At 42.0% G+C, this 26,935-nt stretch overlaps 1 protein-coding gene and 1 long non-coding RNA gene across 2 annotated transcripts in view; both read right to left on the bottom strand.

The window, feature by feature from the left end:
* CEACAM21 (CEA cell adhesion molecule 21) overlaps positions 1–3,846 on the bottom strand; it is a 37,327-nt gene extending 33,481 nt beyond the window's left edge. Inside the window, exon 1 of the mRNA NM_001288773.3 lies at positions 3,812–3,846. The gene's annotated coding sequence lies outside the window, so the exon portion shown is untranslated. The remainder of the gene's footprint in view (positions 1–3,811) is intronic.
* A 12,613-nt stretch (positions 3,847–16,459) lies between these two features.
* On the bottom strand, positions 16,460–17,866 carry LINC01480 (long intergenic non-protein coding RNA 1480). The gene is made up of 3 exons (NR_110724.1): positions 17,763–17,866; positions 17,581–17,650; positions 16,460–16,763 (listed from the first exon to the last, which is right to left on the bottom strand). It is a non-coding gene; the product is annotated as a long intergenic non-protein coding RNA 1480 (long non-coding RNA).
* Positions 17,867–26,935: the final 9,069 nt, after the last annotated feature.

The raw sequence follows: 26,935 nt of genomic DNA, 5'->3' as shown, positions 1-26,935 counted from the left end.
GGGAGGCTGAGGTGGGCAGATCATCTGAGGTCAGGAGTTCAAGACCAGCCTGGCCAACACGGTGAAACCCCATCTCTACAAAAATACAAAAATGAGCCGGGCATGATGGCGGGTGCCTGTAATCCCAGCTACTCAAGGGGCTGAGGCAGGGAAGCGGAGGTTACAGTGAGTCAAGATCGTGCCACTTCACGACAGCCTGGGTGACAGAGCAAGACTCCATCTCAACAACAACAACAAAAAAGGGTAACTGGAGAGAGGGAAGTTATGTTTCAAAAACTTTTGGAAACTATAGTACACCTGTTTTTAAATTCTAGTCTGGCATTCAGTTTTTATTATTTTCTACAGTTTGGGTTAAATTCGTATTTCTCTGGCTACAAGTCTCCTAAATAATCTTTTCATTTGTTTCCTTTTTCTTTCCCTTTTTCCCCATTTTTCTTAATTGGAAATCACTGAAACCTAAGCTGTGCTTTCTTAAAGCCCTGTGAACTGAAGACTAGACAACCGAAACTTCTGAAGGAAGTAGCAGCAACCTATTTATATGTGTTGCTGTTGCCTACTATTATGTTTTAGCAGGTGCTGCCTCTACACCCCCGAAACAGAGAGTGCTACTGGGAACAAATCGACTTTTTCCACTCCAGTGCTGCATTCGGTGCCCCATAACGATGACCCCCTCTCAGCAGGAAGTAGCCAGAAAGATTACAATGCTCCATCTCCCTATGATTCTTGTGATAAATAAATATACAAGCATGATAGAAATCATGCGCAAATTGACAGTGGGGATTGTGGCAGGCCAGATTTCACTAATGGAGGTCCCCATCACAACTACTTCAGTACTGACTGAGTGGTTAAGTTCAGTATCAAAAGCTGAAAGTGCCAGCGCCTTTCTACAAAGGCTAGAATGTAACAAAAGCCCACCAAGGGTTTTACCTAGGCCTTTCCTGGGCCTTACAGCATGACAAAACAAAGAAGGAATTCTTAACCAGACCTGTTTAGGATTAAACAAATTTAATTGGGGGTCTGAAGAAACTCGCCAGGCCTCCACAAACAAGTTCATTGGGGGTCTAAAGGAACCCCCCCCAAACCTCTGTGATTGAGCAGGAGACAAGGTCAGGGTAATAGCCCCAGCACCTGGACTCATTTAGATTTAAGTAAATGTACTGAGGCTCCAGAGAAAGGTCTCCAAGACTTAGACTAGAGTTACAGATTAAAAGAAGTTAATCACTTATATCTTTAGATAAATGCACACTGACACGTAGACATACATCTTAGAAAATATATAAGCTCTGGAAAACCTTGTAATTTACAGTTGGTCTGGAGATATTTTCTGGGCCTTCTCTCTGTAACCGGTTCCAGAAATAAAAAACTCTCTTCCTCCCCAGTTTATCTGCATCTCGTTATTGGGCCGTGAGAAATAGCAGCCAGACCCTGAGTTTGGTCTGGGAACACACTGGCTGGGCTTCCTGCCTGGCGGTAGAGCTTCACTGTCCTCCTTCCCAGCCAAAATGTGGCCCTTGAAGGCTTCCTCCCCAACTGACCGGTTTTGGGTTCTAGGTACTCAGGGAACACCGTCTTCAAGGAGGCCATTTTCATACTGTTCCTGGTTTGATTTTTCTGAAATTAGGAAATGCCCCTTGAGGCATCCAGGATTGTCTTTATTTCCCCTGAAGCTTCCCCTCCTGAAGAAAAAAGTTCTCAAACACCCTCAGGACTCAAACCCCAAGTTCACCCTGTGAAACATTCCCATTTCCTAAACCCAGGCAGGCTCATGGCCCTCAGCCTCTCAGACCCCATGGAAACCTCCTCCCCCACTTCACGGGTTCTCTCCATATTGAGAGCCTCCCCTGCTCGGCACACAACCCAGAGACTCACCCCAACATGTGTAGCAAATCACCCTGGAAACAATCATGGCTGAACGTGGTAGCCCATGCCTGTAATCCCAGCACTTTGGGAGGCCCAGGAGGTGGATCACCTGAGGTCGGGAGTTCGAGACCAGCGAGGCCAACATGGTGAAACCTCGACTCTACTAAAAATACAAAGTTCACTGGGCATTGTGGTGTGTACCTGTAATCTCAACTACTCAGGAGGCTGAGGCAGGAGAATCACTTAAACCTGGGAGACAGAGATTGCAGCGAGCCAAGATCGCACCATTACACTCCAGCCTGGGCAAGAAGAGTGAAACTACATCTAAAAAAAAAAAAAAAAAGGAAAAGGAAAAGAAAAAAAAAATCATGAGGCAACATTGCATTTAACAATATTTTATTTATCAAAAGACACTTGTCTTTCTCAGGTAAGTGAAGGTCTAGAGATGAAACGAGTCCCGATGTAAATTGCCCCATGGGCATTGCTGAGATCACAAGATCATCACTGCAGCATGCAGCACAATAGTAAATTTCTCAGGATGGAAGTTCAACAATCCAAAAGGTAGTATTTTTTTTCATGATGCTCAGTCCATCATACGAAATAAAAATAAATTCCTTTTCATGATCATCCATTCAGTAGAAAAAATGATAGTAAATTTGTTCTCATGAAGATTTTTACCGTAACATATAGGATTTATCGTTATTATTATTATTCTTTGTTTTTTGTTTTTTTGAAGCGGAGTCTCACTCTGTTACCCAGTCTGGAGTGCAGTCGTGCGATCTGGGCACACTATTAACCTCCACCTCCAGGGTTCAAGCATTTCTCCTGCCTCAGCTTCCCGAGTAGCTGGGATTACAGGCATGCGCCACCACACCCGGCTAATTTTCGTATTTTTACTAGAGATGGGGTTTCACCGCATTGGTCGAGCTGGATTTGAGCTCCGGACCTCGGGTCATCCGCCCATCTCAGCCTCCCAAAGTGCTGGGATTACAGGCGTGAGCCACCGCGCCCGGCCTCAATTTATCATTATTCACGCATCCACAAACTGGGTTCTTATATTTTGTACGTGATTTTTTCCATTGAGGAGAGATATCTGTGCATATTCATGCTGCTCATATTTCATCCACAAACTCGGTTCATATTTCATCCACAAACATAATTTTTTCCGTTGAGAAGAGATACTTGTACATATTTATGCTGTTCAAATTCACATTTCATCATTCTTTTACAAGAAATAGATAATGTATTTTAAGGTTTTCCAGTGGTATTACAGATATTTTACTGGGTGTATAGATAGAAATTAAACCAAACTTCTTTGTTCTGGCCGCCAGTCATGCATCCTGTTTTCAACATAGTTCACATACAACTGGTTGTGTAAAAATGAAATTATTTTGTTTAGTACAATCATCAACAGTTGGTTGATTAGATTTTTAATTATCAAGTTAATCATTGTCATTATGCTTCTCATCGCACTCGTCATTAATTGCTGTGGGAGGAAATTTGTTATGTTCCCTATGAGAGGGTGTATCACAAATTCAAATAAGAATTCAACGACAATGGACTGTATAAAGGAAATAAGCAAGTCCATGGAAAACATATTTTTTTCCGGAAAGGATTAAAATATTTTTAAAAAGGAATTAAAAAAAAATTGGGCACGGTGGCAAATGCCTAGAGTCCCAGCTGCTCAGGAGATGGAGACAGAAGGATTGCTTGAGCCCAGGAATAAGTTGGAGGCTGTAGTGAACAGTGATTCCACCACTGTACTCCAGCCAGGGCAATAGAGGGAAACCCTCTTTCTAAAAAGACAAAAAGAAACAAAACAAAACAAAAAAACACCACATCAAAAAACCCAACAACAAAATGAAAAACCAAATAACAGCAATACAATTGGAGCTATTCGATCCAAAGAAGTAAATGAAACATAAAGCAAATAAAAGAGAAAAGCTAATACCTGTGTCCTGCAGGACTCAGTCCAAGTTCTGCTCTGACTCCCTCCTGGTGAGCCACCCCTTAAAAAGTCACTTGGGGCGGGGTTACTTTGACAGACAGTCTTCTGTCAAAGAGGGAGGCGGTAAATAGCACTTTTTTTTTTTTAATTTAACGCCTTTCCAACAAATTAGCGGCTATGTTGTCTAAGAGTGCAAATGTCAGAGGTGGGTACAGGCAGCAAGACCCTCCCCACAGGGGCAGCAGAAGGAGGAATGACTAAGGGAACAAGACTTTAGTGTGCTCAACTACACAGGACAGGAAACAGATGCTTTTTACAAAAGCTGGTGGACTTGAAGGCAGAATATTTTCAAGTTCCTGTAACTGCGAACTATGACCTGTAGCCTGTGAGAGTGACTTTCTGTGGCAAAGGAGCTTTTGTGAATGTGAGGAAGTTAATTATCTTAACAGTGGGAGGTTCTCCCGGCTTATCTAGCTAGACCCTCGTGAAATCCCAAGTGTCCTTAGGAAGGGGAAGCAGAGAGAGATTTGAGTCCAGAAGAGGAAGAAGGTGATGTGAGGCCCAGTAGGGGAACAAAGGGCGATGGCATGTAAACACTTAGCCCCCAGAAGTGGGAGAGGGCTGGGGTTCATCACACCAGAATCCCTAACAATCAGCCTTATTTTAATTACCCTTGAAATGGAAGGAGGCCTTAGAGAGCCAGAGGCTTGGAGGGGCACCCTCTGCTGCATACACAGATCCCAACTGCTGTGGGCTCCAAATAATTGCACCAGGGAAATCACAAATTATCAAAAATAAAGGATGTAAAGCTTTTAAAAAATATTAAAAGCCCAACAAATAAAAAAAGTTCTAAATCTATAAAATTGACCTCAGTCTGTATATTTAGATGAGTCATGTGTATATAGCGTTTCACTTCAAAATATATGATAAATCTCTCATTCATTGGCTTAAAAATAAACACTTCAATCAAGTCTTTATCAGAAAAATTGAAACGTTAACTCAATTGCCTTTTAGTTCATGTGACTTTACAAAACTTAAAACAATAAAGTCAGTTTTAAAAATTATTAGTAAAGTAAAAGAAAAATATCTTCACAATGTAGACATTTTGTCCACATGAGACATGTGAAATATTGCCATTACTAAATATTTGCAGGTCAAAAACTGTTTCCAAAACATTTTAAATAATCATCTGGCCTGTCTGTTTTAGAGCATTCAATTCTAGCTGAGGTCTGGGGACATGTGAAAGGAGCCACGGCCCGACTCCGTGCTGGGAAGAGTCAGACATTTTCCACAGCTCTGTCCTTTGCTGTGGGCTCTGCAACTCCTACCAATTAAAATTGCTTACGTTTTTGTTTTATTTTTACTAAAGAGGGGTTCCTAAAAGCTAACATTATACTGAGTATATGTAACTAAAACTACTAAGAAAACAATTTCACAATTATACAAATGTGCCAAGTAAATGAAAAAATAAACTGTATTTTAATAAAGGTTATAAAAAGAAAAACATATAGTGGTGTGAGGACTGTCTCAGGTCTTCACTGAGCAAGGGATCATGACATTCTATGGCGGACAGCTGACCTTGGCTTTCTGCTCCTCTTGATTATGTCTACTAAGTGACATACTTACTCTTTTTCCACCTGTCTTGCCTCTAAGGGTAACAGGTTTTATGAGATCCCTCCTAGTGCTTTGCAGGTCAGCCTCCCTTTGCTGCATTCCAATTTTACTGCCTATACCCTCCAGCTGGCTTTTGATGACAAAAGTCCTGGTCCCAGCCATTCTCAGATTCTGTCATCCCCGTGGGCACTATGGAGCTCAGCACTATGGGAGGTTCCCCAAAAATCTCGTTTTCTATGAGGAATGGCCACCACCTGCATCTCAGTGATGCTAGTGACCCCTTTCCTACTCCTGTGCTCACTGGTCCTCATGAAGATCCTGGTTGGTCTGTAGCCCCCTATTTTTCCTATTAAAGAGAAATTACAGTAAGACCAATTTGTGTGCAAAATCAATTTTAGGCTTATTACACTTGGCCTGATAATTTGCATAAAATGCAGCAAGAATTCATCGGCCATATAGGCTACTTTTGAGTTAATTTTCCTGGGTTTTTACCTAAAAATATACTATTTTGGTTAGAGTCTTGTGAAAATAACCAATGTGTTCAATTGTTTTATTTTAAAAGGCTCTTACTGAACACTATAAATATGTATAAGTTGAATATACAAACTATATTGTCATAAAATCACAACCCAAAATGTGGAGAACGCAGAGGGAAAGGTAAATTTGCTCGCAAAAACATACTTCACCCAAATAACTGGAAAAAAAAAAAGACTTTCATGACCCTTCTTTAACCAGAGCAGCAGCTTTCAAACAAGATGTTTGCCTTGGAAATGCCATTCACAAGCCAAACGGCCCTTGAGAGCTGTCTGTCAGGCACTGTAGAATCTAGCAGCTCCTCACAGAGTTAGAAATAGTTTCAGGAAAGAGATTCCCTGCTTTTAGTAACTGCACTTTATATTCCCAGATAGCGAGATTGTATGTAAACCATTTTTATCTTATTCTGGAACTCTTTTGGGTACTTTTTTTTTTTTTTTAAATGATGGAGTCTGGCTCTGTTGCTCAGGCTGGGGTGTAGTGGTGCGATTTCAGGGTATGAGAAAATGCAGCTGGACCTGGCTCTTTCCAGGAAGACCCTCACAGCCAAGGAGTCCAAAGCCTGGGGTTTTCATCTAATTCCAGTGTGACTGGGGTAGGAGCAGCTTTGGTGCTGGGTGTGTGTGTGTGTGTGTGTGTGTGTGTGTCTATGCCTGTGTCTGTTTAGGGTGTTAGGCTCGTGGTTGTCTAGATACAAATGTCCCAGGGCTCAGGAGCCCCAGGGTTATGTCAGGGGCACCAGATGAAGGTGTCAACAGAAGTTAGGGCACAAGGGACAAAGGTGAGAGCAAGGTTAGATTCATTTAGGTGCAAGAAATCATAGAGGGAGGAGGGAGAGGAAGGCCTCCTGCTACCACCGAGGAAGAAGCGCAGCTTAAGGCAGAAAGCCTGTCCGGAGAGGAAGTGAGTTTGAGGGCAGGGCTCTCTGGGTAAAGTACGGTCTGGGACACCAGCCTGGGGGAAGGGTACAGAATGCAGAGTGGCCTGGCGTGGGGACTAAGAACAGAGGAGAGCAGCTTTCACTGGGAGGGTCAGTGTTTTCAGTGTCCAGCACTGAGCAAGGTGAGATTTGGGCAGCTTGCTGTGAAATAAGGTCAGGCTCTGGCATTGTCCCCATTGCGTGTGTGTGTGAGGGGCACTTTGGGAGAGTGAACTCTCCACCTCCATCCTCTCATACGTCCTTCAACCGAGCTTGCCAGTTACCCTGATTCCAAGGAGATCTATTTATTGTTGACAATACTGGATCCTAGCAGAGGCTGGGTAGGAGCCTGGGCACAAGCAAGTGGAGGAGGGGGCCTGGGCCTGAAAGACCTGGGAGGTTTGAGAGAGGACACAGCCCACAGAATGGAGCAGATGGGGTAGAGTCGGCAAGCATTCAGGGCTCCTAGTAAGTTGGACAATGGAGACCCTGAAAGATCCAGTAAAACGGGGAGAACAAACAGGTCCCCAACTCACATCCTTGCAGTGCCTGGAGCTTCAGACTCCAGACAGGTGGGGAAGGAAAATTGAGGGATGTGAACATGTTGGAGAATGTCGTGCCCTGAAGAATGAAGAAAAGGGGGGTGAGGAATGAGAGCAGGAACGGCTTCCAGTGCCTGGTGCCCAGGAGAACTCAGAAAATGGGTGTGGTGGAGAGGAATCGAGGAACCGGAAGTGGTGGAAGTGTGCAGGGCCCCTCCGAGATCACTGTGACTGCCAGGCGTCCTCCCTGGCTGGAGAGCTTCACTGTCCTCCTTCCCAGCCAAAATGTGTCCCTTGAAAGCTTCCTCCCCAATGGACTGGTTCTGGGTCCTATATATTTGAAGGGGTGGCCTGCCTCTCCACACCTGTGGGTATTTCTAGTTGGGTGGGAGGAGAGACAGAGAAAAGAAATAAGACACAGAGACAAAGTATAAAGAAACAACAGTGGGTCCAGGGGACCAGCACTCAGCACACCAAGGGCCTGCACCGGCACCGGCCTCTGAGTTTCCTCAGTTTTTATTGATTATTATTTTCATTATTTCAGCAAAAAGGAATGTAGTAGGAGAGCAGGGTGATAATAAGGAGAAGGTCAATGAAAAACATGTGAGCAAAAGAATCTATATCATAATTAAGTTCAAGGGAAAGTACTATGCCTGGACGTGCACTCAGGCCAGATTTATGTTTCTCTCCACCCAAACATCTCAGTGGAGTAAAGAATAACAAGGCAGTATTACTGCAAACATGTCTCACCTCCCGCCACAGGGCAGCTTTTCTCCTATCTCAGAGTTGAACAAATGTACAATTGGGTTTTACACCGAGACATTCAGTTCTGAGGGGCAAGCAGGAGACAGTGGCCTTCCTCCATCTCGACTGCAAGAGGCTTTCCTCTTTTACTAATCCACCTCAGCACAGACCCTTTATGGGTGTTGGGCTGGGGGACAGTCAGGTCCTTCTCATCCCATGAGGCCATATTTCAGACTATCACATGGGGAGAAACCTTGGACAATACCCCGCTTTCAAGGGCAGAGGTCCCTGCGGCTTTCCACAGTGTATTGTGCCCCTGGTTTATTGAGACTAGAGAATGGCAATGACCTTTACCAAGTATACTGCTTGTAAATATTTTGTTAACAAGGCACATCCTGCACAGCCCTAGGTCCCTTAAACCTTGATTTCATACAACACATGTTTTTGTGAGCTCCAAGTTGGGTCAAAGTGGCTGGGTCAAAGTGGCTGGGGCAAAGCTACAAATTAACAACATCTCAGCAAAGCCATTGTTCAAAGTACAGGTCTTTTTCAAAATGGAGTCTCTTATGTCTTTCCTTTCTACATGGACACAGTGACAGTCTGATCTCTCTTTCCTTTCCCTACATATATTCATGGACCACAGTCTTCAAGGAGTCCATTTCCTCACTGTTTTTGGTTTGATTTCTCTGAAATTAGGAAATGCCCCATTGAGGCACCCAGGATTGTCTTTACTTCCCCCAGAGCTTCCACTCCTGAGGCAGGAGCTTCTCAAACACCCCCCAAGACTCAACACCTAATTTCACCCTCTGAAACCTTCCCATTTCTTAAATCCAGGCAGGGTCATGGTCCTTAGCCCCTCAGATGCTGTGGAGACCTTCTTTCCCTTTCATACATTCTCTCAAGATTAAAAGCCACCCCTCCTCAGCACACACCCCAGAGACTCACCCCAACATGCATTGCAAATCACCCTGGAAACAGTCATAAGACCACACTCATTTAATAATATTTTATTTATCAAAAGACACTCTTTCTCAGGTAAGTGAAGTTCTGGAGAGGAAAAGAGGAGTCCTGATGTAAATTGCCCTGCAGGCCTTGCTGAGATCACAAGGAGATTGTTACTGCAGCTTGTAGCACAATAGTAAATTTCTTCTCTGGATGGAAGTTCAACAATCCAGATCGTAGTATATTCCTTTTCATTATGCTCAGTCCAGCAAATGTGATGATAACAAATTCCTTTTCATGATCATCCATTCAGCAGAGAAAATGTTTGTAAATGTGTTTTCATGAAGATGTTTACCATAACATACAGGATTTACCATTATCAATGCATCCACAAACTCTGCTGTTGTTTTTTATACATAATTTTTTCCATCGAGAAGTGATAGTTGTACATATTCATGCTGTTCATATTTCAACCACAAACTCTGCTGGTTTTTTTATACGTAATTTTTTCCATTGAGAAGTGATACTTGTACATATTTGTGCTGTTCATATTTCATGTTTCATCATCCTTTTACAATAAATAGGTTATATTGTATTTTAAGTTTTTCTAACTGTAGTGCAGAAATTGTACTGGGTGTATACATAGATATCAAACCAAATTTACTTGTTCTGGCTGATAATGCATCATTTATTTCATAGATTATGTATTTCTTTGACACATTTCACGTACAACTAATTGCATAAAAATGAATTTTCTTTTAGTATAGACATCAGCATGTGCTTAATTCGGAATTTAATTGTCGAGTTAAACATCGTCATTGCCTTTTCCGTTGTTATTAATTGCTCTGGTGGGAATTTTGTTATCTCATACATAAGACAGTGTGCCACAATATCTCTTAAAATTTCAATGGCAATAAACTTTATATTTAAAAACAGGGAATCTATGGAAAACACATTTTTTTCTAAAGGATTAAAATATTTTTTTAAAATAATTTTCTAAAAAGTTAGGCACGGTAGCAAACGTCTAGAGTCCCAGCTACTCAGGAGGCTGAGACAGGAGGATTGCTTAAGCCTACGAGTTGGGGGCTGCAGTGAACTGTGATTGCACCACTACATTCCAGCCAGGGCAATAGAAGTTAACCCTTTTTCTAAAAAAAAAAAAAAAAGAAAGAAAGAAAGAAAAAAAGCAACAACACCAAAACCTCACCAACAAAATGGTAAAGAAAAAAAAAACAGCAATACAATGTAAGCTATTTGATCCAAAGAAGTCAATGAAATTTAAAACAAATGAAAGGGAAAAAGTAATACTTGAGTCCTGCAGGACTCAGTCCAAGTTCTGCTGTGCCTCCCTCACGGTGAGCCACCCCTTTAGAAGTCACTTGGGTCATAAGTTAACCCGATAGGAAGTGTCCTGGCCAATGAACTAGGGAGGTGGTAAATGGCACCATTTTAAATTTAAATTCACGGCCTTTTCAACGGATCAGTAGCCATGTTGGGTAAGAGTGCAAATGTCAGAGGTGAAAAGAGGCAGCAGGACCCTCCCCTAGTGCTTGGGCAACAGAAGGTGGAATCACTAAGGGGACAAGACTTTAGCATGCTCAAGTACACAGGACAGAAAACATGCTTTTTACAAAAGCTGGTAAATATGAAGAGGGAACATTTTCAAGTTCCTGTAACCAAGAACTACCGCCTGTAACCGGTGAAAGTGACTTTCTATGGCAAAAGCGTTTTTGAAAAGGTGAGGAAGTTAAATATCTTAATGTTGGGAGGTTCTTCTGGTTTATCTGGCTAGACCCTAATGGAATCCCAAGTGTCCTTATGGAGCGGGGAGCAGAGAGAGAGATTTGAGTCCAGACGAGGAAGAAGGTGATGTGAGTCTGGGTGCGGGACAGGGGGAGAATGATGCTATGTGGGGATCTGGGCTGGGGAATGACTTAGCTGCATGAGCGGAGTGACTTAGACTCCTGAACTAGAAGAAATCTAGGGCTCATCACCTCAGCAGCCCTAACCATCAACCTTATTTTTATTACAGGTCTTCCATCGACGGACTCCCTAAAAAGCCAGCGGCGTGGAGGGGCGCCCTCTATTGGACAAATAGATCTTGACTACTTTCGGCCCTCAAATAGCCTGACTAGGCAAATAACAAATAATAATAATTTTTTTTTAAATCATGGAAAATATTTTAAAAAACAATTAAAAAGTTATAAATCTATAAAATCTGCTTCTGTCTGTGTGTCTGTATATTTAGATGTCTCATGTGTACATAATGTTTCACTACCAAAATATATGATGAAACCCTCATTAATCGGCTTAGAAAACTAAACACCTAAATATTTTCTCAGAAAATACAAAAACTTTAACTCAAATCCCTTTTAATTCACCTGACTTTAAAAATCTTTAAAAAATAAAGCATGCTTTAAAATTATTAGTAAAGTAAAATTAGAACATCTTCAGAATTTAGACATTTGGTTTAAATTATACAGGTCAAATACTGCCCTTAGTAAATATTTTCAGGTCATAAACAACTCCTGTAATCTTTTAAATAATTGAATTACATGTCTGTTTTAGAGCTTTAAGTTCTAGCTAAAGCCTGGGGACAAATGAAGGGCACCATGCCCCCTCTCTGTGCTGGAAAGAGACATTTTCTACAGCTCTGACCCTTGCAGTAGGCTTTGCAACTGCTACCTATCAAAATTGCATACATCCTAAGTTTATTATTAAAAGGAGTTGCTTGGAGTTAACATTATAATGAATATATGTAACTAAAACTATTTCTCATACAAAGTATATGAAAAAGTAGAATGTATTTTTAATAAAAAGTTATAAAAAGACATGAACATATAGTTTTTATAAAAAACAGTAATTTTGTCTAGTTTTGCAGTTCTAAAAAGTTATGTTAAATTCAAAAATAAAAAATAACAAGACAAGACTCAAGGTTTAAATAAGTTGTAAAAGATTTGTAAAAATTAGTTCTATAAAAATTTTACAAAAAAAAGCATTGGTTAAAATTTAAGGAATTATTTTGTTTTTAAAGAAATTAAACATTCATTAAAAACACTCTGATACAAGGCCTTAATTTGGGTTCATGTATCAGAATAGCAGGGTTTTCTTAGAATATTAATCTATTCTTTAAAAGAACTATAAATGTTATGCAAACTTTATAAAAATCTTACCTTAGAGTCAAACTGATTAAAATTCCATAGATTTTACGTAAAATTTTATTAAAAATTAACTTCAACAAAAATAAAATTTGATTTTCTCCTTTAAACAAAAGTTTTGCGTAATATTAAATAATAAAGCATTTTTGTTTACCTTTTAAACTATAAACACACACACACATACACATACACCAACACTAAAGTCAGCTGACCTCATACTGTCTTTATTGGATATTCTTGTTTAAAAAACTATCTTCTTTGGAAAATAAAGTTTTTTATTTTAAACCATATTTTAAATTATCATTTTGACTAAATCCATAACATACAGTGATCTGTAATAATTCTATTTTATAATATCAAGTGTTTTGAAGAACTCCAGGAACAGCCATGAGAGAACACTGTGGTTTAGTAACACTTTATTTCCTCAGTTTGAAAATAGTTGTCTTTCTTGGGGAGGCTGGTTTCAGCAGATGAAAACGAGAGTCATGATGAAAATTACCCAGCAGTGGTTAGTGTGACCATAGGAACATTGTCATCAGGTCAGCAGAAAACATATCAGCAAATTTTTCTCATACTGGCAGTGTGTAGGGGTGGATGTTTACAGTTCCTGAAGCCCCAGTGGTCGTGTGGTCTTTTAGTTTTGCCATTTATAGGCAACTTGTGGTAACTAGCTCAATTAGACACATTCCTTATCACAAGGACAGAGGGCTTTCTGTATCCTAGGGTTCTTGCCTTGGCATTCCAGAAGAATCAGGTCACACGTGGACGTGGAGAATGAGTGCAAGGTTTTATTGAGTGGAAGTAGCTCTCAGCAGATGGGGGAGCCAGAAAGGAGATTGGTTTCTCCCTGGATTGGGGCCGTTCAGCAGCCCTGGCTCTCCTCTGACTGCCCCAGGCAAAATCCACATCGTTCTATAAGTCGGTGCCCTGCTGGTGTGCTGGTGCCTGTTGTCATGTTCCTCTTCATGTCCAGCCGCCTGTGTGTTCCTCCGCTGATGTGCTCCTCTCGACGTCAAGCCTCCTGTGTGTCTGACTGCTAGGGTCTTGGGGTTTTTATAAGCACAGGATGGGTCTTAGCAGGCCAGGATGATCTTGGGAAAGACAACATTCGGTCAGGAAAACAAAAATGCCTGTTGTCATCTAGGTCCGTGGGGACAAGCCCAGGTGTGGAGCTTTTAGCCAGGGACCACAGCCTCCTGTATCCAACACTTCCCTTCACCTTTTCTATATCATTCAAAGGGATCATGCCCTTCCCATCCCAGCACTTCACTTTCATGTCATTTGCCCCCTCTGAAGAGGTACATCTAACTGCCATTAGAATATGGATGATGACCAGTCTTAGCTGCTTCCTGCTGAAAGGGGGCATTGTTTTGGGGGAAAACGGCAGTCAGATTCCTCCCAGGGGTCTCTATAATAAAAGATCGAGGTGGCTACTTTCAGGAGGTCCTCTAATGTACTATCTGGTCCCAAGTCCCATTTCTGCAACCTCCTCCTGATGTCAGGAGCTGCCTGAGTAATAATTTTATCCTTTAGGATTATCTGTCCCTCGATTGAATTAGGAGATAGAGAGGTGTGATTTACCAAGGCCTCTCTTAGCCTCTCCAGGAAGGCAGTGGGATTTTCATCAAATCCCTGGTTAATTATGGACAACTTAGTATAATTGAGAGGCTTGGTCTTAGACCTACGTAAGCCCTCTATTATGCACACCTGAAAGTGTCTCCTCTTCCAGTCTTCCATCTCATTATTGGGATCCCATTTAGGGTCCTTCACTGGTGCTACTTCTCTTCCAGTTGGATAATATTCGCTCCCTTCCCTGATGCTATAGGTGATGCAAAGCTCATCCCCAAATCTCTCTGCTGCTGGCAGAGCAGCCTGCTTCTCAGTGTCTATCAGGTTCTGACTCAAAAGTAACATAACGTCTCTCCAGGAGAGTTCAAATGTTAGGGTGAAATTCTGGAAAGCTTCTATATATCTATCAGGGTCATCTGAACACTTGCCCAGATCTCCCTTAATTTGCTTTAAGTCTTGTAGGGAAAAGAGGACTTGGACCTTACTGGGCCCAAATTCACTGGGCATCTGTAGGAGGGGCAAGAGTGAGACTGGGCTTGTTTGGGATGAAGATTTCTAGGAGGGGCCAGGTGAGAGGCTGAAGCTGGATACGGAGGTTGGGGTGGACCCAGAGGAGCAGGGCTTGAGGGAGCTGGCACGTCAGCTGGGGGTGCGTCTGGGACTCGTGTCTTTAATTCCCTGGGCTTGACCCTGGCAGCCTTCCCCGAGACAGCAAACAGGAGGGCTGGAACAATCCTACATGTCAGCAAAGGTCTGGATTGCTTTGCAAGGTATAGAAAGCCTGCACATTTGGGGCCTCAGACCATGTGTCCTCACATCCAGAGAAAAGTTCTAATTGCAGGATGGTATTGAAATGAATGGTCCCTTCCTGAAGCCAAGCCAGTCCTTCCTGTAAACCATAATTTGGCCAAACCTATGTGCGGAGGGCTATGAGATGCTTTTCCTCTGGATTCTGAGGGTCAAAACAGTCCCAATGGTTCAGGATACACTCAAGGGGAGTACAAGCTGGGGGTGGTGAGGAGAACTGGCTGCCCATTCTGAAAGACAGGGAATAGAGGTGTTCCTCATTTCCCTTCCTTCTTTTGGCAAAAAGCTCAGGGTGTGATGGGGAGGGAAAGCAAGCATCTTCACTTCACTTTCCACCTCTTACCCCTGCGCCCTGGCAACCTTGGCAGGTGCCGGCCACAGGTACAAATGCGGTATGTACCCATGAAGCAGGGAGAACCTGGAGATTAGGAATTAACTGCCCTCACCTATGTTTCCTTTTCTCCCTGCTGTTGAAAAACTTTGAGTTCCCTGGGCCTTTTTATCCCATGAGGCATGGCCTCCTTCTGTGGGATGGGGTTCAGTCAGCAGGAATTGGTCCTGTCCATTTACATTGTGCCTGTTGCCTGGCTTTGAATTCCTCAGACCTGCTTTCTCTTTCTAGGGCCTCAGCCTGAAGCTTGGAATTGAGTTTGGGACTGAAAAAGCATTTCAGAGGCTGTTTATATCCATTTAGTGCCTCAAATAAGCCCTGCTGAATTTGCAATTATCAGCCAGCAGGGGTCACTCCTCTGTTAACTTCCCTATTAGAAACAGAGCGGTGGGGATTCTCACTTAGAAAAGAAAAAAAGAGAAAAACAGTTAAAGAGGCAAAAAGTGGGGAATGCTGGGGGAAGAACCCCTTGCTTAGTGCAAGTGGGCCCCTCTAATCCTTATAACTTTCCCATCCTTCCCCCAGTTCAGACCAGGTTGAATTCCTTGGCCATGGAAGGAAAGGTTCCATTGATGCAGTGGGTGAGAAGCACTCTGTAGGGTCCTGGCTACCATCGGTTTTCTCACACCCCCCTCATCCCAGGCAGTGGAGGGAGACACTTCTGCGACATTGCTCCCCCTGCCCCTTCATGGCTATTGGGTGTGGCCTTTGCCTGCTGCAGGCATGCCTAGGTGCTGGAGCTGGGAGGGAAAAGGGTAAGGAGAGGTGCCCTGGAAGCCGCTCATGCCTGGGGCTGTCAAGGTGGAGGCATACATGGCACCTCTAGGAAAAATTGGTCTGATTTGCACCTTTGGCGGCTGAGCCAAATGCTCATTTTACTTAGTAACATTGCCTCAGCCTGTAGCAAAACTCTTAACATTATAAAGGAAGAGATAAGATCCATTTCAAATAATGTGTGAGAGAGAAAAGAGATGAAAGGAAAACAGAGTCTTTTACCTGCAGGAAAGGGAGAGAAGTGGCAGAGTTTTGGAAGAAAGGCAGGCCCAACAGTTTCCCATTCACTCACACTCACCTTCCGAGATCCCAGACGAGCCACCAGTTGAAATGGGAAAAGTTTCCTTGTCCCCCTCACAGGAGGTGGAGTGGGGGTGTGGCTTGCTTCTTTAGTACTCCGCTGCTCAAACCTCTAGGGAAGCATACAGACTGGCAAGTTGTGGGGCTACAACCCCATGGCAGCATCTAGGGGTAGATGTTTACAGCTGCTGAAGCCCCAGTGGACATGTGGTACCATGTGCTCTTTTAGTTTTGCCATCTATAGGTGGCTTTGTGGTAACCAGCTCAATTAGACCCATTCCTTAACCCAAAGACAGAGGGCTTTCTGTATCCCGCGGTTGTTACCTAGGTGTACCAGAAAAATCAAATCACACGTGGTCTTGGAGAATGAGTGCAAGGTTTTATTGAGTGGAAGTAGCTCTCAGCAGATGGGGGAGCCAAAAGGGAGAATAGTTTTCCCCTGAAGTCGGGTTATTCAGCGGCCCAGGCTCTCCTCTGGCTGCCCCAGCCAAACTCTATGTCAATCCATTGGTCGGTGGCCTGCCAGAGTGCTGGTGCCTGTTGGTGGATTCCTCTCAGCGTCGAGAGTTTTTCCCTCTCAGGAAAGGGAGAGAAGTGGCAGCCACCCATGTGTTCTTGCACTGATGTGCTCCTCTCGACGTCCAACCTCCTGTGTGTCTGCCTGCTAGGGTCCCAGGGTTTTTTTAGGCACAGGATAGGGCATGGTGGGCCAGGGTGATCTTGGGAAATGCAACATTTGGTCAGGAAAACAAAAATGCCTGTCCTCATCTAGGTCCAGGGGCACAAGCCCAGGTTTGGAGCCCTAGCCAGGGACCCCGGCCTCCTCTACCCATCACTTTCCTTCACCTTTTCTGTATCATTCAAAGGGACCATGCCCTTCCCTTCCCAGCACTTCTCTTCTGTATCAATAGGTGATGTTTTTAAAATTTCCCAACTCTAGTGCAGGCATGGTACTAGACATATACATAGAAATAAAACCACACTTATTCTTCTGGCTGGCAAGACATAGTATTTTTGCCAAATTATGTGTTGTTTTGAAGCATTTTATGTACCCCTGGTCATATAAAAATAAAGCTATTTTGTTCAGTACAAACAGCAGCATTTTCTGGATTAGAAAGTTAATCATCTTAAAAGATCATCACGGATTTTTCCATTGCACTCATCACTAATTGCTTTGGCAAAAAATTTCTTATCTCACGCATGACAAAATCAGCCGCAGTATCTCCTAGTAATTTAATGGTGATGATCTTTATAAAGGAAATAAGCACATCAAGGGAAAACATAATTTTTTTAAAAAAAAGAGTAATAAAACTTTTTAAAAGTCTTTTTTAAAAGACTGCTTTTCTAAAATAGTAAAATAAAACTCCACCAATAAAACCACCAACAAAACAGAAAAGAAAAAATAATGATATGATCGGAGCTATTTGATGAAAGATGGTAAATTAAATTTAAAATGATTAGAAGAGAAAAAGCAATACCTGTCTCCCGTAGGTCTCAGTCCAGGTTCTGCTATGCCTTTCTCCTGGTGAGCCACCTATTTAAGAGTCGCTTAAAGCATATGTTAATCCAACAACAGCAGATTAAAAACCAATGCAATCTGAACTATTTGATCTAAAAACATAAATAAAATTTAAAACAAATAAAAGAGAAAAAGCAGTACCTGTGTCCTGTAGGTCTCAGTCCAAGATCTGCTCTGACTCCCTTGTGGTGAGTTAGCCCTTTAGAAGTCACTTGGGGTGGGGCATATGTTAATTCCACTAACATTGGTTCTGGCCAATGAGTCAGGAAGGTGGTAAATGGCACCTTTTCTTCTTGCTGATTTCTTTCAGTTCCTTTGGAGTCTGGACATTAGTCCTTTGTCAGATGCCTAGTTTGTGACTACTGTTTCCTATACTGTGGGTTGTGTGTTTACCCTGCTGATATTTCTTCTGCCTTGCAGAAGATTTTCGGTTTCATTAGGTCCTATTGATCTTATTCTATTTTTATATTTTTGCGTTTGCTTTTGGGGCATTAGTCATGACTACTTGGCCTAAGCCAATGTCTAGAAAAGCTTTTTGGATGCTATCTTGTAGCATTTTTAGACTTTCAGGTCTTAGATGGAAGTTTTTATATGCTTTGTTAAAGATCAGGTGACTGAAAGTACCGGGCTTTGTTTCTCGGTTCTCTATTCTGTTCCATTGCTCTATGTGCCTATTTTTATACTTCCTGCACCATTTATTGAATAAAGTGTCCTTTCCCCAATTAGTGTTTTTGCATACTTTGTTGAAGATTAGTTGTCTGTAAGCATTTGGCTTTATTTCTGGGTTCTCTATTCTGTTCCATTGCTCTATGTGCCTATTTTTATACTTCCTGCACCATTTATTGAATAAAGTATCCTTTCCCCAATTAATGTTTTTGTGTACTTTGTTGAAGATTAGTTGTCTGTAAGCATTTGGCTTTATTTCTGGGTTCTCTATTCTGTTCTATTGCTCTATGTGCATATTTTATACCAGTATCATGCTATTTTGGTGATTGTAGCCTTGTAGTATAATTTAAAGCCTGCCTTCAGATTTGTTCTTTTTGCAAAGTATTGCTTTGGATATGCGGTCACGTTTTTGGTTTTGTATAAATTTTAGGATTCTTTTTTCTAGTTCTGGGAAGGAGAATGATGATATTTTGATGAGAATTCTACTGCTCTGTAGATGGCTTTGGAGAGTATGGTCACTTTCACAATATTGATTCTACCTATTCATAAGCTTATAATGTGTTCCCATTTGTTTGTGTCAACTGTGATTTCTTTCAGCACTATTTTGTAGTTTTCCTTGTAGGAAACTTACATTAACCTACTTGGTTAAGTATATTTCTAAGTATTTTACTTATTAAAAATTCTCAGGGAAATGCAAAGTAAAACTGAGGTGGGAAATTAAAGAAAAATAAAATTAAAAAGAAAGGGAAATAAGCTTTCTTGTATTAAGCTAACTTGTCCCAGAGGCAGCAACAGGCACAGCCCAGACCCAGGAAAAGTCTTGATAATATTATTTATTGTATTCTGGAGACTCTTCCAGCACTCCTTCAATGTAGGGAGAAGAAAAACAAATTTTCCTTTGTTTTATGGTATGAGTTTATAGATTCTTGTTCTCTTTAACTAGTAACTTCAAGTATTCTGTTTTATCTAAGAAGTATGGCAAAGGTCATGAGAAGCCTGAGCAGGCCTGAACTACAGCTCTCTAGGCACCATAGTGAAGATAAACCAATGCAAGCCTCTTTAGAGCAAAACCTAGATAATAGACATCTGGGTTGCATAGCAACAGTTATGTGCAATCCTGAGTTATGAACCTGTTACAATTTGATTAACTGTCTTTTTCCTGCCTCTGTATCCCTGCTTTCACACCACTGTAAGCTTGCTTCAAGCTGGCCCACCCCCTTTTGTGAAGTGTGTATAAAAGTCAAGTGCTGTCTTTGTTCCAGGCCCTGTCTTTGGACGTGAGTCTGCTGGGCCTGAGAGCACTCAATAAAAGATTCTCCTGTTTTAACCCAAAGCCTCTCTCTCATCCTCCTAAATCCCACAACAAAACCACAATGAGATGCTATCTTAATCTTGCTAGAAGCCCATAATTTAAAAGTCAGAAAACAATAGATGTTGGCATAGATGTGGTCAAAAGGGAGCACTTTGACACTGCTAGTGGGAATTTAAACTAGTCCGACCACTATGGTAAACAGTATGGGGATTCCTTAAAGAACTAAAAGTAGACCATTCATTCCAGCAATCCCATTACTGGCTATCTACCCAAAGGAAAAGAAGTTATTCCATAAAAAAGACACAAGAATATGGATGTTTATAGCAGCCGATTCGCAATTGCAGTGATATGGGACCAACTTAAGTGCCCATCAACGAACGAGTGGATAAAGCAAATGTGGTACACCATGGAATAATACTTGATAATAAAAAGGAACAAAATAATGTCCTTTGCAACAAGTTGGATGGAACTGGAAGCCATTATTCTAAGTGAAGTAACTGAGGAATGGCAAATCAAATATTGAATGTTTTCACTTTTAAATGAGAGTTAAGCTATGAGAATGCAAAGGCATAAGAATGATATAATGGACTTGGGGACTCGGGGAAAGGTTGGGAGGGGGATGAGGAATAAATGATGACATATTGGGTATATTATACACTGCTCAGGAGACAGATGCCTCAAAATCTCAGAAATTACCACTAAGGAACTTTTATCCACATAACCAAAAACCACATATATTCCACACACTATTGAAAGAAACATAAACATTATTTTAAAAAATAAAGCCACTTTTAAAATTAGCAAAATAAAATAAATATGTCTTCAGAGTTTAGATATTGGATCCAAATTAGACAGATCAAATACTGCCTTTACTAAATATTTTCATGTCATTAACAACTTCTAAAACCTTTCAAACAGTTTTTTGACATGTCTTGGAACCATCCATTTCTAGCTAAGGCCTGGGCACCTGTGAAATAGGGCCATGCCCCCCCTTATACTGGGAAGAGTAAGATATTTCAAGACTAAGATGTTTTCTACAGCTCCATCTTTTTCTTTAAGCTCTACATCAAGGACATAATTAAAATTGGTTGTCTCCTAAGTGGTTTACTAAAAATGCATACTTAAGAGTTACCATTATAATTAATATTTGTATCTAAAGCTACTTAAAAATTTTCACACACAAATCTGACTGAACAAGTAAAATATATTTTAAGTCAAAGTTTATAAAAGGACATGAGAACATAGCTTTTATGAAAAAATTAGTTTTGTCAAGTTTAGAGGTTTTCAAATATTTTAAATTCAGGAAATAAAATAACAAAAAGACAAAAGAAAATGGTTGAACAACTTAGAAAAGGTTTGTTAAAATTCATCTTATAAAACAATCTACATGTAAAAAGTGGGCTAAAATTTGAAAGAGATTATTTAGGTTTTCCATAAATTAATCCAGAAGGGGTAGGAAGTCTTAAGAATGAGGAAGGACAGGAGGAAGGGGAGGTCATCCTGACACTGCAGAGGCAGAAGTGCAGCTGAAGGTATGAAGGCTAAGAGGGGAGGGGAGTTTGAGTGCTGCTGCCTGGCTGTCAGAGCAGAGGAGGGTCCTGGGCACCAGACTTGAGGAAGGGATGAAAATGCTGGGCAGACCTGTAGTGGGCCCTTGAGATGGCAGATAGTGGTTTCCAGAGAGAGGGCCATTGTTTTCCAGTGCCCAGCACTGAGCAGAGAGAGTTTTGGGCAGTGTAAAAAAAAAAAGAGAACTTACCTCTTTCTCGTTTTAGAAAAAGAACAGTCTAAGAATATCAGCAGGGAAACTCTCAGTGCTTCAAGGGGTTAAACGCCCTTTTGGCTTTCTTGTGTTGGTTTCATCATAGAGGAGGAGAAACTTCTTGGAAGTGTTCCTAAAAACACAACACGTCTGCTTCTCCTTTCAAAAAAGGAAGTGCTAAAACACGAACACTCTAGATCCAAATATTAATACGGATGTCTAAATGCTTCCGTTTTCCAAGGGGCAGAAAGCTAAAGGTTGTAACCTATTCATTTCAGTCAAAGTTGGTGAAAGGGAAGCAAAGGAACTGGGTGGGGCTTGGAAGGATGACGAAGCTCAAGCTCATTGGCCAGCAACCTCTCTCCTGGGGGCGGGAGGGGTGAGCATACGTCACTGCTTTGGCTTCTATAAAATGAGGAGGACTCACCGAGTGTGAAGAGTCCTTCTGGTGATTGCAGCTGAGAGCACACTCACGACGTTCTGCAAGGATTCTCTGATTATGATTCTGAAGGGAAAAGCGATGGAATGGACAGCAGAGATTGTAATTTTCTTTATCTTGAATTACGGAAGAAAGTATCTAGGACAGAAATCCACGACAAGTCCTTGGAACCAGCAGATCTCTTCGTTCACGGAGACGTTGACGTATTCTCTATTGAAGAAGATTCTTACCTTCTTACTGGACAAGGTTTTGTCAGTTCTGCGTGACTGGATTGTCCGGGAGACTCTGAGGAAACTGATGTCACATGTTTTTCCAAAGAAGATGTTTCTGGAACCAACAACTGTGATTGTGGTTTGAGGACTTCTGAGAGTTCCAGTACAGGAAATAAGCAGAACATCAGCTGGAGGCTAAACGGATCCAGACTTCACTCTTCACTTCCCTTCCTATTCAGTCTATTGTGCCTGCTGACTGAGAAGCTTGGCTGGTATGTGAGCAAATAAACGGAACTATTCAGAAGGAGATGTTGACATATTCTGTATTGAAGAAGATCCTTATCTTCTCACCTGACAAGGTTTTGTCAGTTCTGTGTGACTGGATTGTCCGGAAGACTCTGAGGAAACTGATGTCACATGTTTTTCCAAAGAAGATGTTTCTGGAACCAACAACTGTGATTGTGGTTTGAGGACGCCTGGGAGTTCCGGTATGCGAAATAAGCAGAACATCAGCTGGCGGCTGAAGGGATGCAGCCTCCACTCTTCACTTCCCTTGCCATTCCATCTATTGTGTCTGCCTGACTGAGAAGCTTGGCTGGTATGTGAGGAAATAAACGGAATTATAAACAAGGAGATTGTTTCTCATCTACTTCATTCTGTTGTGGCTTTTCTATTTTGGGGTTCAGGGTGTGTGACAAGGACCAAGGAGATGAAAGGTTTCATGATGGAGAAAGCCCAGGCAATCAGATTGAAGAGCTATCCACAGGGAATCTTGGCTGCTGAGGGGCTGCACCCTGCAACGGACTGACCATATGACAGAAAAGGGTTTTAAAGGCTCAACTTCTGGACTGAGAACCCAGAGTAATTTGGGAACCTCCTCTGTGAGGAGATATGAAAGCTGGGAATCATGACATCCCTAGGAATGGAAGGCACATTTCCTGATGGAAGGGGTGCTTTGGAAAACAGGAGCAGAGTAGACACAGCAGCCTTGTGGATACGGGTGGGCAGCATGCATGGGTGATGTGAACGTGGAGTGTTTGTGATCGAAACTCAAAATGTCTGACAAAGTGAAAACCTAGAAACCACAATGAGGAGGAAGAGTTTGTGAGGGCAATCACTCTCCCCATGTGTGAAAATCGGGGGCTCTTAAAATCTCATCTGGAGAGGTGCAGTCTACCAAACTCTGGGACTTTAGCCTCCCCTTTTAAAAAACCGTGCATCAATACCAACGTCCGAAACCACAGAAATAACACCTGGCTTGCATGGAGACAAGGACAAAAAGCCGTCATGATGAGTTGTTCTGCTCACTTGCTGCCTCTGTTCAGTGCACAGGATATTGTCCACCCACTAGCAGGCTACTGCAAGAGAAGTGTGCAATATGTTCCCTATGTGCCATATATGTGCCATATGGCCCATATGACAACTGAGTCAGAAAATATCTGATGCCCTCAGAGTTACACTCCACCTGGAGCTTGCCCCCAGCCATCCAGGACCTAGGCTCCCTACCCTGTCCAATTTTCTGGTGTTTTGGGGGCTTCATTCTCTAAGGTGTGCCCACTCTTTACTCAAACCAAAACACCCACATATTCCTGCCCATGAACAACCAATCAACCACTTCTCAGTTCCACATCCTGCTGTTGGGTCTCTAGTGGTGACACTGTAACTCCCAGGTCATAGTGGTGACACTATAACACCTAGCTAAATTGATGCCTTGTCTCTAGGAGGCCATGGGCTCCTGCAGGTCTCATCTGACTCTCTGTAGCCTTCCCTGACAATGCTCACAATACCCAAGCCAGAGCCACATTGACAGCAAGCTGCTCTCATCTTACCTTTGCCAGACCTGGCCACTGGAAAAGGCTGACCCTCATCCTGCAATGCCTATACCTCCAACCTTTGTCTCAAGCTGGTGTCCTGGAGGGACTTCTAAGCAGAAAACAGATTCAGACTCCCATCCTCTCCTGAATGGCCTCATATCCAATTCTCAGACCCTCAGCCCTCATTGTAAGGACACTTCATCCATGCCCTTGAGTATTCTGTCTGCACTGTGTATTCTGCAATAGATTCTCCTCCCTCTGCGACCCTCAACTCCTTCCGCAGACTTTTTGTTTTCTTGATCATCTACCATAGTCTTCCACTGGGACACTGCCAAGCCCATTCTGGAGAGTGAGTTGTGCAAGTACACTGCCCCCCATCTACCTTTCGGGAGGTGTATACACCCTTCTTTCTCCCAGGTCTGGAGGCTTTCTATTTTCATCCTGAGGCATCTCCACCTGCTCTTGGATTCTTCAAATTGACAACCACCAGTTAACAAGAACTATGTGTCACCAAATAGCCAAACAATGGCAATTACAAAAATAAAATTAATAGCTGTAACCCCCATTAGCAAGGATACACAAATCAAATCAGGGATAGTGGGTGAGGAAGTCTGCCTAACATTCAAGGAAGGATTCTGAAGTGATACAAAATCATTGCCTTTGCTATCTTTAGAATGGACACTTTCAGCCAGGCACAGTTGCTCAGCCTGTAATCCCAGCACTTTGAGAGCCCCAGTTGGGTGGATCACTTGAGGCCAGCAGCTTGAGACCACCCTGGGCAATGTGCAGAAACCCCAACTCTACTAAAAATACAAAAATAGCCAGTTATTGTGGCACATGCCTGTAATCCCAACTCCTTGGGAGGCTGAGGCACAAGAATCACTTGAATCTGGGAGCCAGAGTTTGTAATGAGCGAAGATCATGCCACTGCACTCTAGCCTAGGCATTAGAGTGATAATCTGTCTGTGGAAAATAAAAACATTCCTCTTCAAAGTTTTCTTCTTTAAATCATAAATGTTGGAATTAATATATCCTCTTTGAAACTCACTTTCTTCAAGCTTCTTTATTTGATGGTAGTAAATCTTTGTTAAGCTTTATGAGGCAAGAGTAATGGAAGAAGCATATTATATATATTTATACTCTAACCTCAGTGCTTGTTCTAGCAAGCTCAGGCATGCGTGAATGTGCCCAGGCATGTTCCAGCCCATACCTTATATCCTTTCCTTATTGGGAAATGCTGTTACTCCTATAAGCATTCTTGTAAGCAACTTCCTCTTTTTCTTTGTCTCCACTATCTTTACCTATTGAGGACAGTTTTAGGTTCTTAGCCAGTTGGATGTAGCATAGACTGTGAGGTCCAACCCCAGCCAATGGAGATAGCACACAGCAGTAGCGACCTCATGCTTAACAGATAAATATTCCTGTCTCCCTTTGTTTGGGGTGCTCTCAGCTGATGAGCAACACCCTTTCTAAAGAAATTAAAGTTGTCTTGCTGAGAAAACTTTTGGTCTAAATGCTGATTCTTCCTTGCAGCACTGAAGAAGAAGCAATTATTTCCAACACTTTCTCATACACAAAAAAAGAAGAAGGTGGAAGAAAACTTTCTTGTGCACCCTATCCCTCACTCAGAAAGACAACAGAAGGCTCCTAGTGGCAAGCCCTAGAGGATTCATTTCTTTTGGGAACCCTCTTGGCTGGGATACTAGGACTCAGGTCAAACTCAGCATTTTCAGTGTGTGGGAAGTGTGCTTGGGTTTCACTGTTACTTCCAATAATGTGATTTGGTCCTTGGGGTTCACCAAATTTTGGTATGGAGTGGTGAACCCTGTTAAGTTTAAGTGTCTATAAAATTAACAAAGCAAAATAACCATTCTGCCCCATGGTTCAGAGACCAAATATTGTGTAGGAAATGCTTTAGCGAGAGAAACAGAGAAGAATAAAAAATGTCCTCAAGCGCTGCATTATTTCTTGTTATCGTCCAGATCTTAGAGGAAAGGCTTTCATTTTTCCTCATTCAGTATGATATTAGCTGTGCATCTGTCATTTATGGCTTTTATTATGTTGGGGTATGTTCCCTGTGTATGTAGTTTTTTCAGGGTTTTTGTTATGAAGTGATGTTGAACTTTATCAAACGTTTTTCAGTTTCAGTTGAAACGATCATATGCTTTTTGTCCTTCATTCTCTTGATATGATGTATCATGTTGATGATTTCCATATGGTGCACTGTCCTTGCATCCTGGGCATGAATTCCACTTGATCATGACAAATGAATTTTTAATGCATTCTTGAATTCCGTTTGCTGGTATTTTGTTGAGGATTTTTGCATCAATATTCATCAGAGATATTGGCCTGCAGTTTCTTTTTTTTTCTTTTTTCTTTGTTTTGTTGTTTGTTTGTTTGTTTGTTTTGATGTGTCTATGTCTGGTTTTGGTATCTGGGTAGTAGTGTTCCATCCCCTTTTATTTTTTAGAATAATTTGAATAAGACTGGTGTTGGTTCTTTAAATATTTGGTAGAATTCCGAAGTGAAGTCATTGGGCCCCGGGCTTTTCTTTAGTGGAAGGCTGTTTATTATGGCTTCAATCTCGTTACTTGTTATTGGTCTATTCATGTTTTGAATTTGTTCCTTATTTAATCTTGGTAGGCTGTGTGTATCTAGGAATTTGTCCATTTCTTTTAGATTTTCAAATTTATTGGCACATAATTGCCCATTGTAGCCTCTAATCGTCATTTGAGTTCCTGCAGTACCAATTATAATGTCTCCTTCTTCATTTTTGATTGTATTTATTTGGATCCTGCCCCTTTTTTTCTTACTTAGGCTGCCTAATAATTTCTTAATTTTGTTGAACTTTTTCTTTTGTTTGTCTCGCTCTGCCACCAGGCTGGAGTGTAGTGGTGTGATCTTGGCTCACTGGAACCTCCGTCTCCCAGGTTCAAGCAATTCTCCTGCCTCACCCTCCCAAATAGCTGGGACTACAGGCAAGTGCCACCACTCCCAGCTAATTTTTGTATTTTTAGTAGACACGGGTTTTCACCATGTTGGCCAGGATGGTCTCGATCTCTTGACTTCATAATCCACCTGCCTCAGCCTCCCAAAGTGCTGGGATTAC

The sequence above is a fragment of the Homo sapiens genome, chromosome 19, assembly GCF_000001405.40.
Source record: "Homo sapiens chromosome 19, GRCh38.p14 Primary Assembly".
NCBI lineage: Eukaryota > Metazoa > Chordata > Mammalia > Primates > Hominidae > Homo > Homo sapiens.
This window is presented reverse-complemented; position numbering and strand designations above follow the sequence as displayed.